Source organism: Homo sapiens, chromosome 1, assembly GCF_000001405.40.
Source record: "Homo sapiens chromosome 1, GRCh38.p14 Primary Assembly".
Taxonomy (NCBI): Eukaryota; Metazoa; Chordata; class Mammalia; order Primates; family Hominidae; genus Homo; species Homo sapiens.
The window spans coordinates 228,322,546-228,337,384 of NC_000001.11; the positions used below are offsets into that span (position 1 = coordinate 228,322,546).

The following is a 14,839-nucleotide window of genomic DNA, read 5'->3' on the forward strand; positions in this document are numbered from 1 at the left end:
GATTTCAGAACCCTCATGTGTACCCAAATCCACACATACTCAATCCCCAAATCAGCCCTGCAGAACCTATATATATGAAAAGTCAGCCCTCCCTATACAGGGTTTTGCATCCCACAGATGCTGTATTCTTTGATCCACATTTGGTTGAAAAATATCCACATATAAGTGGACCCATGCAGTTCAAATGCATGTTGTTCAAAGGTCGTTTGTATTCACTCTCTAGAATTTTTTAAAAATGAGACTCTGAAATGTAACCTGTATAAAATGCTGCACTCCTCATGGTCCAGTCTGCATACCATTTCCCATTCCAGCATCTAGGAGTAATTAAAAAGCCATTTCCTTATTTACTTGTGTCTCTCTAGGAATGTTAAAGAGGGTATGATGAATGACCCACAGTGTTACTTCTTGAAACTTCTCTCCAATTTTGAGCCTCTCCCTTGCTTCAAATCCCTCACCTGCTCCTCCTGGACTTACAGGCCACACAGTCTTTATCTTTGCTTTACCTCCCTTTTCCTCCCTGTTTCCAGCCCTTTATCCCTTTTGCCTCAAAGTAGCTTGGGAACCAAGCTGGCAAACAGAATTCTTAGAGAACAAGGAAGAGAGAGAGGCTTAGTAGGCAAAGATACCATTCTGTTTAGCTGTCAGTGTCTGTGAATGCTCCCATATGAATGATTGTTCCGTACATCATATGTGTCAAACCATTCATCTGGTGGCAACTTGCATGTATGTGGCAGCCGGACGTGATCATTGTTCCCTGGGGCTAACTCACCCATCTATCCCAGCCCCAGTGTTCCTGACTGAGTTGCAGAACCAAGAAGTGCAGGATGGGTATCCTGTGAGCTTTGACTGCGTGGTGACAGGTCAGCCCATGCCCAGTGTGCGCTGGTTCAAGGATGGGAAGTTGTTGGAGGAGGATGATCACTACATGATTAATGAAGACCAACAGGGTGGCCATCAGCTCATCATCACAGCCGTGGTGCCAGCAGACATGGGCGTCTACCGCTGCCTGGCCGAGAACAGCATGGGTGTCTCCTCCACCAAGGCTGAGCTCCGTGTGGACTGTGAGTACTGCGTCTGGTTTGGTGTCTCCAGGGTGGGTGGTGTAGGGGCTCCTGAGTTGGTCTTGAGGATAGTTCAGAGAGCATTCGTCTCAGCCCAGGCAGGATTTGGGGCCTCACTGTCTTGTGGCTGATGGAAAGCTGTCTGGGAGCTAGGGCCAAGACACGCCCCTAGTCTGGAGCCCCTTGGGGTAAGGGGTTGAGGGATCTCATCTCTGTGAGAGGCATCCTGGCTGGGACAGAGGCTCAGGAAGATTTGGAAGTGGACCTCATGGAGTAAGGTGAGGGGGTCAAGAAGGGTGAGTCCAGCCTACCCCAACCACTCCCTTGAGGTCCCTTTTGAAGGCTGTCAGATGGCTTGATCAGGAAGCCTCTCAGGAGAAGCTCAAGGGCATGGTGAATGGTTTGTGGCACTGTGGCATTATGAGAAATATTTATTTGACCTTTGTCCTCAGTTCCTGACACAGAGCTTCTAAATCCCTTGGAATTTCCTGGGTGATAGGAGCATCTTTTGTTCTAATAAGGTGACTCTTGGTGGGCCCCTAGTTAACTTCAGGATGAGGGGTGGTTTCCAGAAAGACCAAGCCTTTATTAGAAGCCCAAAACTGTCAGCACTACCTCCATCCTCTCGGGAGGGTGGGGATGCTGGAGATTAAGTAATTTATCATGCCTATGTGATGCAGCCTCCATACAAACCCATAAACTAAGATGTTTGGGCAGCTTGCGGGCTGTTGAACACGTGGAGGTGCCAGGATAGTTGTGCAAAGTGCCGCTCCTCTCCCTCACACCTTGCCCTATGTATCTTTTCCATGAGGCCATTCCTGAGTTATATCCTTTATAGTAAACCATTAGTAGTAAGTAAAGCACTTTTCTGAGTTCTGCGAGCCATTGTTGCAAATTATCAAACACAAGGAAGAGGGTTGTAGGAACCTCCAATTTACAGCCATTCAGTCAAAAGTATGGGTGGAAATCTGGGACTTACAACTGGCATCTAAAGTGAGAACATACTTGTGAGATTGATTCTGTTAATGTTTAGGGTCTGTGCTAACTTTGGGCAGTTAATGTCAGAATTGAATGGATGTGTTGTACATCCAGTTGGCATCAGATGTGTTGTGAGTGAAAACAGCTCAGGGACAGACTCTGGAGCCACAGAGTTGGGTAAAATCCTGGATCTGCTACTTACCAGCTATGTGATCTGGTAGAAGTGACTTTATCACTCAATGCCTCAGCCTCCTCATCTGGAAAATGGAGATCATGGAAACTGTCTTGTGGTATAGCTATGAGAGTTAAGTGAGTTGATTCATGTAAAACATTTAGTAGAACAGGCTGGGTACATAGTTAAGCACAAATTGTTAGCTGGTTTGCAAGGCAGTTGTTGGGACAGGAGAAGGATGCTGTATCTTTCAGCCTGATAAAGTCTCACTGAGTCCTCCAGCCTCTGGCTGGTACAGGCTGTGAGATGCTAAAGAAAGATTTCTTTTCTCTTTCCTGCCATCCCCTTCCATGTTGAGCCTGATGCCACAGGCCAGGCAGACAGTTTTGGAGGTGCTTTGGGGCTGGATGGGCAGCCATGGGATGGCCCTAAGATAGAACTAATAAATGGTTTCAAGAAGATCACAAGATACTAGATTGACATGCAAAAATCAGTAGTATTTGTATATACTTAAAATGAACACGTGGAAACCAAAATTAAAAACACAATAATATTTATAATAGCTTAAAATAAAAAAATTTTTTTAACTTAGATGTAAATACAACAAAACATCTACTGGATCTGTGTCCTGAAAATTACAAAATGCTGATGAAAGACAACAGAAAGGACCTAAACAAGCAGAGAGACATACCATGTTCATGGATTGGAACTCAACATAGCTAAGATGCCAAATTGATATGTAGGTTTAATGCAGTTCCTATAAAAATCCCAACAAGATTTTTTTATATACACAGATGAGCTTGTTCTAAAATGTATATGGGAAGGCACAGAACTTAAAATAGCTAAAAACCATTTTGAAAAACAAGAATAAAATGGGAAGGACCATTCTACTTAATGTTAAGATTTACTATTTAGCTTAAGTATTAAAGACAGTGTGGAATTTGTAGAGGGATTGACACATAAATCAGTGGGACAAAATGGAGAATACAGATTTAGACTCATACAAATATGTCCAAGTGATTTTTGACAAAAGTGCAAAAGCAATTAAATGGAGGAAGGATAGAATTTCAACAAATTTGGTGCTGGAGAAATTTGGACATGCATAGGCAAAAAATGACCCTTAACCTAAACTTCACACCTTATATGAAAATTAACTCAAAATCAATTGCATCCTTAAATATAAAACTTTTAGGGGAAAAAAATGGCAGAGAATCTTTAGGATCTTAGGCTATGAAAAGACTTCTTAGACTTGACAGTTAAAGCACCATCCATAAAAGGAAAAACTGGTAAACTGGATCTCACCAAAATTGAAAACTTTTGCTCTGAGAAAAACCCTGCTGTGTAGAGGATGAAATGTTACAGATTGGAAGAACATGTTCACAAATTATGTATCTTGTAAGGGACTTTTATCTAAATAAATACAAAGAATGCTCAAAATTAAGCAGTAAAGAATTTTAAAAATCCAGTTGTAACATGGGCAAAAGACTATCCAGTCATTTCATGGGAGAGGATATGCAGAAGGTAAATTAGCATATGAAAGATGTTCAACATCATTAGCCATTAGAGATAGTCAAGTTAAAACCCCAATGAGATATCACTGCATAACTACCAGAATGGCTAAAATTAAAAATGGTGATAGCACCAAATGCAAGTGAGGATACAGAGAAACTGGGTCACTCATACATTGCTGGTGGGAAAGTAAAATGGGCCAGCCACTCTGAAAACTGTGGCAGCCTCTTACAAAACTAACCATGTGCTTACCATATAACCCAACAATTTCTCTCTTTTTTTGGCATTTATATCAGAGAAATGAAAAAATTGCATTCAAACTAAAACCTGCACCCAAATGTTCATAGCACCTTTATTCCTAACAGAGCCAAGGGCTGGTAACACCCGAAATGTCCTTCAATGGGTAAATGGTTAAACAAACCACCTATGTACATCTATTCTATGGAATGCTACTCAGCCATAAAAAGGAACTATTGATGTATAATAACTGTGATAAAATTGCATCTTACTACATAAAATTAAATATATAAACATACACTCAATTGTGTTCTTGTAAAACTTTTGAAATCTCAACAAAATCAATGGATTGCATCAATGTCAGTCTTCTAGTTGTGATATTGCACTGTAGTTGGTGAGATGTTGACATTGCAGGAAGGTGGATAAAGAATAAATGGGATCTCTATATCGCTTCTTAGAACCGCGTGTGAATTTACAGTTATTCCAAAGTAAAAAGGAAAAGGAACTATTAAAGAAAAGTCAATGATCTTAAATAAGAACTTATATATTTATCCACATCATTCCATTTCTGAGTGCATCATTCCATTGTGTAGATCTAGATTTCCATCTGATACCATTTTCCTTCTGCCTGAGGACATCTTTTAATATTTCTTATAGTGTGGGTATGCTGGAATTCCTTCAGATTTTGTGTGTCAGAAAATGTCTCTACTTCACTTTTGTTTTTGAAAGATGTTTTTCCTAGGACGGTTTTTTTCTTTCCACATTTTAAAGATGTTGCTCCACTGTCTTCTAGCTTGCATTGTTTCCAGTGAGAATTAGAATGTCATTCTTGTCGTTGATTTTCTGTACATAACTTGTCTTTGTATAAGGATTTAAAACTTTTTACATATTTGCACACCATAAAATTCATCATTTACCAATGTTCAATTTAGTGGGTTTTAGTATATTCACAAGGTCTGTGCAACCATCACTTCTGTCTAATAATATGTTCTGGAATATCTGATTCTGGAACATTTTCATCATGCCTGAAAAGAAACCATTAGCAGTTACTCCCCATTCTCCCATTCCCCCAGCCCCAGGAAATAACTAATCTACTTTCTGTCTCTATGGGATAACCTATTCTGGACATTTCCTATAAATAGAATCCTACAATACATGGCCATTTCTGTCTGCCTTCTTTCACTGAGCATACTGTTTACAAAGTCCATCCATGTAGTGGCATATATTATTATCGTACACATTTTTTATGGCTGAAAAATATTCCATGGTATGTGGAGTATTTATGCATTTATCAGGTGGCATTTATCCATTGGTTGTTTTGGCTGTTATGAACAATGCTGCAGTGAACATTTGTATATGAGTGTTTGTGTGAGCATGTTTTTAATTCTCTCATGTATATACACCTAGGAGTGGAATTCCTTGGTCATGTGGCAACTTGGTTGAACTCCTAGAGGGACTACCAAGCTTTTCCACAGTAGCCACATCATTTTACATTCCCATCAGCAATGTACAAGGGTTTCAATATTGCCACATCCTTGCCAGGGCTTGTTATTGTTCATCTTTTTGATTATAGCCATCTTAATGGATATGAAGTGGTATCTCATTGTAGTTTTGATTTGCATTTCCCTAGTGACTAACTTTTCATGTGCTGGTTGGTCATTTGTATATCTTTGGAGAAATGTCTATTCAAATTTTTTGGACATTTTAAAATTGGGTAATTTGTCTTTTATTTTTGAGTTGTAAGAGTTCTTCATATATTCTTGATACTAGAGTCTTATCAGATAAAAGATTTTCAAATATGTTCTCATTCTGTGCGTGTCTTTTTACTTTCTTGAGAGTGTTCTTTGAGGCACAAAAGTGTTAAATTTTTTTTGAGATAAGGTCTTACTCTGTTGCCCAGGCTAGAGTGCAATAGCATGATCCTAGCTCACTGTAGTCTTGAACTTCTGGGCTCAAGTGATCCCCCTGACTCACCCTCCCAAGTAGCTGGGACCATAGGTGTGTGCCATTATGCCCAGCTAATTTTTTAATTTTTTTTTGTAGAGGCAGGGTCTTGCTATGTAGCCCAGGCTGGAGGGCAGTGGTCTAATTATAGCTCACTGTAACCTCAAACTCCTGGCCTCAAGTGATCCTCCTGCCTCAACAAAGGTTTTAAATTTTAATAAAGTACAATTTATCTACTTGTTCTTTGGTTGCTTGTGCTTTAGCTGTCATTTCTAAGAAACTATTGCCTAATCCAGGGTTATAAAGAGTTACACCTATGCCTATAGTAACTCATATATTTAAGTGTTTGGTCCATTTTGAGGTTTTTTTTTTTTTTTTTTTTGTATATGATATGAAGTAAGGGCCCAAGTTTGTTCTTTTAATGTGGATACCCAGTTGTCTCAGCACCATTTGTTGAAAAGACTATTTCCCCATTGAATTGTCTTGGAATTCTTGTCAAAATTTGATTTTCTCTAAATGTATGGGTTTATTTATGGACTCTAAATTCTGTTTCATTGATCTAAATGTCTTTCATTATGCCAGCACCACACTGTCCTGATTGCAGTAGCTCTGTAGTGGGTTTTGGAATTGGGAGGGTAAGTCCTCCAACTTCCTTCTTTTTCAAGATTGTTTTGCCTTTTCTGGGTGCCTTGCATTTTCATAGGAATTTTAGGATCAGCTTATCACTTTCTTCGCAAAAATTCTCTAGGTATTTTTAAAGATTTAAAAAAATAACTGGTTATGAGTAATTTGATTATGATTTTCTTTGGTGTACTTTTCTTCATGTTTGTTGAGGTTGGACTTTGTTAACCCTCTTAGAACTGTGAGTTTAGAGTTTTCATTAAGTTTGGAATTTCTGTGACCATTATTGCTTCAAATATTCTTTTCTTCAATTACAGGTATATTAAGCCATATTATTATTATCGCTTCAAATATTCTTTTCTTCAATTACCTGTATATTAAGTCACATGGAGTGTATACAGTTCACTAATGCTCTTTTCACTTTTAAAAATTCCTGTGTCTTTCATTTTGCATAGTTTTTATTCATGCCTTTATGTCTACTATCTTTTCTTCTGTAATATCTATCCTATGAATCTCATTCATTTTATTATTTGTCTCTATAAGTTCTACTTGAGTCTTTTAAAATATATTCTACATCTCTACTTAACGTTTTGAATGCAGAGAATACAATTCTAATACCTGTTTTCATGTCTCCTCTACCAGTTCTAACATCTGCATCAGTTCCGGGTTGGTTTCAGTTGATTATTTTCTACTTTATGGGTCATCTTTTCCTGTCTCTTGGTATGTCTGGTGATATTTGATTGAGTGCCTGACATTGTAAACTTTACCCTATTAGGATATTTTGTATTTCTGCATATCTTCTTGAGCTTTGTTCTGGGATACAGTGAAGATACTTGGATGCGATTTTATTCTTTGGGGCCTAGCTTTTATGATTTCTTTGGTGGCTCCAGAGCAGTGCTCAGTCTAGGGCTAATTATTTCCCACTACTGAGGCAAGAACTTTCCTGAGTATTCTACTCAATGCCCTTTGAGTTAGGAATTTTTCTAGTCTGACTGGTGGAACCAGGAGCTATTCCTGGTACTGTTTCCCCTAATCCTTTCACGTGGGTCTTTCCTCACATGCAGATACTAATCAGTATTCTGCTGAGTCCTTGAGGCAGGTCCTTTCTCTGTACAGCTTTCTTTTCTCCAGTACTTTGTCTGTGAACTCTAGCTGCCTTAGTCTCCCAGGACTCTGAGCTCCATCTTCCCATCTCAAGGAGTCTGCTGGGCCCTACCTCAGTTTCCCTTCCCTGAGCCTACAAATTCAAGGCAGGAAACTGGAGCAATCATAGGGCTCATGTTTGTTTCCTGTGTTTAAGAAATCACTGTCCTGGCCTGGTGCACTTTGGCTCATGACTGTAATCCCAGCATTTTGGGAGGCTTAGGCAGGAGGATCACTTGAGCCTGGAAGTTCACGACTAGCCTGGGCAACACAGTGAGACCCTGTCTCTACAAAAAAAAAAAATACAAAAAAATTAGCCAGGCATGGTGGTGTATATCTGTAGTCCCAGCTACTTGGGAAGCTAAGGCAAGAGGATTGCTTGAGCCTGGGAGGTTGAGGCTGCAGTGAGCTATGATTGCACCGCTGCACTCCAGCCTGGGTGACAGAGTGAGACTCTGTCTCAAAAAAAAAGAAAAGTAGAGACATAGAATATATTTTATTTAATGTTTTTATCTCTCAATATTTATTTTTCAGTTCTTTATTTTTTCCATAAGTTATTGGGGTACAGGTGGTATTTGGTTACATGAGTAAGTTCTTTAGTGGTGATTTGTGAGATTTTGGTGCACCCATCACCTGAACAGTATACACTGCACCATATTTTTAGTCCCTCGCCGCCACTCCCACGCTTCCCCCCAAGTCCCCAAAGTCCACTGAAACATTCTTTTTCTTTTTTTTTTTTTTTTGAGATGGAGTTTTGCTTTGTCGCCCAGGCTGGAGTGCAGTGGCGCGATCTCGTCTGACTGCAAGCTCCACCTCCTGGGTTCACGCCATTCTCCTGCCTCAGCCTCCAGAGTAGCTGGGATTACAGGCTCCGGCAACCACACCAGGCTAATTTTTTGTATTTTTAGTAGAGACGAGGTTTCACCGTGGTCTCGATCTCCTGACCTTGTGATCCACCCACCTCGGCCTCCCAAAGTGCTGGGATTACAGGCATGAGCCACCGTACCCAGTCAGTCCGTTGTATCATTCTTATGCCTTTGCATCCTCATAGCTTAGTTCCCACATATCAGGGAGAACATATGATGTTTGGTTTTCCATTGCTGAGTTACCTTACTTAGAATGATAGTCTCCAGTCTCATCCAGGTCACTGCAAATGCTGTTAATCCATTCCTTTTTATGGTTGTATAGTATTCCACCATATATATATATATATATATATATATATATATATATATATATATATATACCACAGTTTATTTGTCCACTCGTTGATTGACGGGCATTTGGGGTTGGTTCCATGATTTTGCAGTTGTGAACTGTGCTGCTATAAACATGCATATGCAAGTGTCTTTTTCAAATAATGACTTATTTTCCTCTGGGTAGATACCCAGTAGTGAGATTGCCAGAGCAAATGATAGTTCTACCTTTAGTCCTTTAAGGAATCTCCACACTGTACCACAGTGGCTATACTAGTTTACATTCCCACCAGCAGTGTAGAAGTGTTTCCTGATCACTGCATCCACACCAACATCTGCTGTTTTTTAACTTTTTTATTATGACCATCCTTGCAGAAGTTAGGTGGTATCACATTGTGGTTTTGATTTGCATTTCCCTGATGATTAGTGATGTTGAGACAGAATATATTTTAAAAACCCAAGTAGAACTTCCAGAGATAAAAAAATCCAATTGATAGGATTAATAGCAAGTACAGAAGAAGATTATAAATTTATTACAGAAGAGGCCGGGCGTGGTGGCTCACGCCTGTAATCCCAGCACTTTGGGAGGCCGAGGCGGGTGGATCACCAGGTCAGGAGATCAAGACCATCCTGGCTAACACAGTGAAAGCCCGTCTCTACTAAATATACAAAAAAATTAGCCGGGCATGGTGGCAGGCACCTGTGGTCCCAGCTTGGGAGGCTGAGGCAGGAGAAAGGCATGAACCCACGAGGTGGAGCTTGCAGTGAGCCGAGATTGTGCCACTGCACTCCAGCCTGGGCGACAGAGCGAGACTCCGTCTCAAAAAAAAAAATAAAATAAAATAAAATAAAATTGTTACAGAAGAAAAAATACATCATGCAAGGACATGATAGAAAGAGGATGAGGGAGCTCTCTGGGGTCCCATGGAAGTTCCACCCTCATCACCTAATACCTCCCAAGGGCCCACCTCTTCATCCATAGGGGGTTAGTATTTCAGCATATGGTCTTTGGGGGGCATCTCAACATTTAGTCCATAAGAGAGGGTAAGTCCAGCCTCAGTCACTCCATCTTGACTAGAAACACTAGTCCTAGCTTCTGGTTTTGAGGCCTGTATCTTTTCATCCCATTATTCCCTAGTAGGATGGAACTGGAAGGTTCTACCACTATCACTGTTTCTTCTGAGGCCCCTGGATCATTCGGTATTAGTTTGTTGTGTCAAAGAGGCTTGTAGTTAGTTATAGGCCTTGAAGAATGGGGCTAGTAATAGCCTGAGGTGGAGAGGCTACAATGTTGCTGTTTCCCCTGTGACTTCCTAGCTCCCAAGTCTAAGTGGCTCCCGGGCAAGGCTCTGTAGTCAGGACCTCTGAGGGCCGAGGCCATCCTGGTGCGGTAGCTTATGCTGGGGCAGATGGGATGGCAGACCTTGCTCCAGCTCCCCTCTTCCTTCCCCAGTGACAAGCACAGACTATGACACTGCAGCAGATGCCACGGAGTCCTCATCCTACTTCAGTGCCCAAGGCTACCTGTCCAGGTAGGGGCTGCCAGAGGTGGGCTGTGCCCCATGGACTGACGTCGCAGGGCCTCTCGGGGAGTGATGCTGCTGGGTGAGGGCAGGGCTTGGTCTGACAGCATCCAATCCTGGAGCCTTCCTCCAGGCCCTGGCGGTCTCTGTCCACTCAGTCAGCAAACAGGGGCTTCCAGCGTCATCCATGCCCAAGCCCCTCAGCACCCCTCCCGCCCTGCTCCCCTCGATGCCCTGCTTTATGGCTGACCCCTTTTCTGTTCTGCCAGCCGGGAGCAGGAGGGAACAGAGTCCACCACTGATGAGGGCCAGCTGCCCCAGGTGGTGGAGGAGCTGAGAGACCTCCAGGTGGCCCCTGGCACACGCCTGGCCAAGTTCCAGCTCAAGGTGAAAGGTGAGAAGGAGAGGGAGTGGGGACACAGCCATGGCAGGATGGAGGCCAAGGAGCCATACCCCATCAGCCACAATTGAAAGGAGACCCCAGCAGCGGGGTCAGGCAGTCACTCATCCCTGCTGCCTGGGTGCAGGAGGCTGACACTCTGTCACTGGTGGTGTGGGGACCCTCTCTCCAGGCCTTCATCTGTCTCCCATCTGGAGGGCACAGTGCCCGTGGGTGGTAGCCCAGGCTGACCACTCCTCCTCCCGTGGCCCAGGCTACCCTGCTCCCAGATTATACTGGTTCAAAGATGGCCAGCCCCTGACCGCATCTGCCCACATCCGCATGACTGACAAGAAGATCCTGCACACCCTGGAGATCATCTCCGTCACCCGGGAGGACTCTGGCCAGTATGCAGCCTATATCAGCAATGCCATGGGTGCTGCCTACTCGTCTGCCCGGCTGCTGGTTCGAGGTGGGTGCTCTGAGGGGCCGGGCAGAGACTTGGGCCCTGGGCAGCATCCTGGCCAGGGCTGACATCCCCTGCACACCCTGCCATATCAGGCCCTCAGCGAGGATCATTGGTCATTGCCCCTTGGTACACAGTGGCACAGGCGGCCGGAAGTTGGCCCTTCCAGGAGTGGGTGTGCAGCCCTCTGTCCTGACTGATGGGCAGGCTGGAGGTTGAAGTTGACCCAGGAAAGTGGGTCAACACTGCGGCTCTAGGTAGATCCACGCACAGCCAGAGCCGGTGGTAGCTTGGGACTAGAGGACCCTACTTCCTTATTGTTCAAAAAGTTCTGATCACTGAGAGTTCATTCCAAGTTTCACCCAAACCCGTCCTGCCACTGCTGCAGCTTTCCCCAGCGTCTCCAGGTGTGAGTCCTCTGCTGCTCTGGGCAGCATTATTTGGTTGTGTGCTGATTCCAGTGTGGGGCCACAGAGTCTGTGGCAGGGCGAGGGTGGGTGGTGGGTCATCGGGTCTGGTCCATGCGGCCTGTTGCCTCTGTCACCTGAGTGTGTAGAGTTCCAGGGCTCCAAGGCCCAGGTTTCAGGCAGGGGTTAGGGCGTTTGCTTGGGGAGCAGCGCTGCCCTTGGGTTCCCTCACTGTAGGGGGCAGAACTGCCAGGCACCCGCACAGCGCCGGGTAGGAGCCACGGTGGGGGCCTGTGTGTGCTGGGTGTCTGACTCTAGTGCCTCTTTCAGGCCCTGATGAGCCAGAAGAGAAGCCTGCATCAGGTGAGGCAGCCCCAGACAGGCAGGGAGAGGCCAGGTGGCCATGGGTGCTGAGGGCCTGAGCCTAGGGCTGGCTGCAGTGGAGGTGTGGGTGGCCATGGGCTGGCTCAGGGAGGGCGCAGCAAGGAGACAGCCCGGCCGAGGGGGAAGCGTGGTGCTGTCCAGGTGCTGGCTGTGGAGAGCCACCTGGGCGTCTGCAGACATCATCCGGGGCCAGGAGGCGGGCGGTGGGGGCTGTGCCGAGGTCTCTGCCAGCCAGCCTGTGTCCCCTAGATGTGCATGAGCAGCTGGTGCCGCCCCGAATGCTGGAGAGGTTCACCCCCAAGAAAGTGAAGAAAGGCTCCAGCATCACCTTCTCTGTGAAGGTAGAAGGTAAGGCGTTTCCTGCCCGCAGCTATGGAAAGATCACCCCTGGGGGATGGGACAGAGGTGCCCCCTCCCCACTCACATCATCCCGAGGGAAGGCCTGTGGCAGGGCTTTATCTCCAGAGACCCCGCTCCTGGCGGGGTGCACCCACCACCTCCTGCCTGCCCCTAGGACGCCCGGTGCCCACCGTGCACTGGCTCAGGGAGGAGGCTGAGAGAGGCGTGCTGTGGATTGGCCCTGACACACCGGGCTACACCGTGGCCAGCTCTGCGCAGCAGCACAGCCTGGTCCTGCTGGACGTGGGCCGGCAGCACCAGGGCACCTACACATGCATTGCCAGCAACGCTGCCGGCCAGGCCCTCTGCTCCGCCAGCCTGCACGTCTCGGGCCGTGAGTGGGGGTGGGGGGATGGGGGGATGGGGGGCTGGGGCATGGGGGGTGGGCACTGGGTGGCTTTGGGGTCTCCTTGGGGCACACTGCCCATCACCACCATCTTGGCTGGGACCCTGTGGGACCCCCTCCTTCCTCTTTTCATTCTCTGACAGCACCAGGGAGACCCCAAAATGGGTCAGGCCCTGGTGGTGCTGGTGGTTTTGAGCCTCAGAGTCGCCTCTGGGCCCAGGCCCCGTGGGTTCTGCACCGCTGGCTCCAGAGACATTTCCTGAAGCCCCCTGCATCCTGGGCCTTGCTTAGCCCCTCTGAGGACAGGAACCCCTGTTCTCCTCCCATCACTGTCAGGGTGACCACGGGCCAAGAGTGGGATGGGGAGGTGAGCTCGGGCACAGCCCCTGCTCAGGGCTTCGGAGGGACCCAGTCCAGATCTGGAATCAGATGTGCTGGGGTTGGGAGCACCGTCTGATGGCTTGCCGGTCCTCCTGACAGTGCCTAAGGTGGAGGAGCAGGAGAAAGTGAAGGAAGCGCTGATTTCCACTTTCCTGCAGGGGTGAGTGAGGGTTGCCCCTCCAGGCCAGTCCGGTCAGGGCCAGGGAGGACGCTCTAGGAGTGGGGGACAGGACAGCGCTGCCCCTGGGGAGAGCACCTGTCCCGGAGCGTGTCCTGGCTCTGCCCCATGCAGGCCATGTGGTTTGGGCCAGCTCTCTTCCTTCTCTGCATCTCAGTTTCCCCATTGTAAAGTGAGGGCTTCTGTTGGGCCTCTCTGGTATGGAGCCTCTTTCTCTGGTATCTTGGTTTGTTGCCCCCAGACCCTCTTTTTGTCAGGAGCTTCTGCATAAGGACAGAGGGTGGTGGGGTCCAGCCCAGGCCTCTCAGGACACCCCCTTCACCTGTTTAGGACCACACAAGCCATCTCAGCACAGGGGTTGGAAACTGCGAGTTTTGCTGACCTTGGTGGGCAGAGGAAAGGTACAGTCAGGGTGGGTGCATGCTTGTGAGGGGCCAGGGTGGCTGATCCCCTGATGCTTGGGGGCAGGGAGGAGGCTGCCCAGGGGTGGCTCCTGGCCTCAGAGGCCCCTCCTGAGCAGCACAGCCTTGGGACACCTGCTCACACAGCCAGGACCAACCCATGTTCTCTTAGGCCTGGACTTGAGGCTTGGTTAGTGTCAGAACCATGTCTGATCCCCGTGGATCCGGGAGCCTGTGGGGTCCCTGGGCCGGCCCTGGGCACAGAGCTCACATCCAGCAGGCTGTGTAGATACCTGGGTCTGGGTAGAACTCCTAGGTGCTGGGCACTGAGAACAGAGGCAGCACAGCCCCGCTTTGGACCCACGGCTCCTCCTGCAGCCTGATGCGCAGGTCTGGCCTCTGCTGACTCTGTCCCCAGTGCCCCTCGTCCACTGTCCACTGGCGGCCCCTGCTGTGCCCTCTGTCTCTGGACATTCTCAGCCCATTGGTCACGCCTCGGCTTGACGCTCATGAGCCAGAGTGACTCCTCATCCTGGCCAGTTCCCACTGGCCTCCTGCCCTGCCGGCCACTGAGTCTCATCATCTCCCTGCTGGACATCAGCACTATGCGGGGGAGGCCTTGGCTCTTTGTTCACCATCGGCTCCCAGGGCCCAACATGGGCCTATGGCATGGGGTGCCTGGTATACATCCGAGGGGCACGCAGCCACCTGAGCAGAGCGTTTGTATCCGCAGAAGAGCCTCTGGCTGCCAAGGAGGCCCTCGGCCACCTGTCCCTCGCTGAGGTGGGCACAGAGGAGTTCCTGCAGAAACTGACCTCCCAGATCACTGAGATGGTATCGGCCAAGATCACGCAGGGTGAGGGGCAGCAGCCCATGTGCCAGGGTCCCTGGGGTGTGTCTGGGGTGTTTGCCCTTCCCCTGAGCCCTGGAGAGCCAGAGGCAGGCCAGGGTGTCATGATCCTTGCACCCCCAGCCAAGCTGCAGGTGCCCGGAGGTGACAGTGATGAGGACTCCAAGACACCATCTGCATCCCCCCGCCATGGCCGATCACGGCCATCCTCCAGCATCCAGGAGTCTTCCTCAGAGTCAGAGGACGGCGATGCCCGAGGCGAGG

The 14,839-nt window shown here is 47.3% G+C and overlaps 1 protein-coding gene across 4 annotated transcripts in view; it reads left to right on the forward strand.

Annotated features, from left to right (window-relative positions):
• OBSCN (obscurin, cytoskeletal calmodulin and titin-interacting RhoGEF) overlaps positions 1 to 14,839 on the forward strand; it is a 170,833-nt gene that overhangs the window by 114,502 nt on the left and 41,492 nt on the right. For all 4 annotated transcript variants that reach the window (NM_001386125.1, NM_001271223.3, NM_052843.4 and 1 more), the window contains 11 exons: positions 783 to 1,061; positions 10,315 to 10,393; positions 10,654 to 10,778; positions 11,038 to 11,235; positions 11,967 to 11,999; positions 12,270 to 12,368; positions 12,535 to 12,753; positions 13,246 to 13,306; positions 13,655 to 13,725; positions 14,459 to 14,581; positions 14,699 to 14,838. In NM_001386125.1, coding sequence (NP_001373054.1) covers positions 783 to 1,061; positions 10,315 to 10,393; positions 10,654 to 10,778; positions 11,038 to 11,235; positions 11,967 to 11,999; positions 12,270 to 12,368; positions 12,535 to 12,753; positions 13,246 to 13,306; positions 13,655 to 13,725; positions 14,459 to 14,581; positions 14,699 to 14,838 — 1,427 coding nt within the window. The remainder of the gene's footprint in view (positions 1 to 782; positions 1,062 to 10,314; positions 10,394 to 10,653; positions 10,779 to 11,037; positions 11,236 to 11,966; positions 12,000 to 12,269; positions 12,369 to 12,534; positions 12,754 to 13,245; positions 13,307 to 13,654; positions 13,726 to 14,458; positions 14,582 to 14,698; position 14,839) is intronic.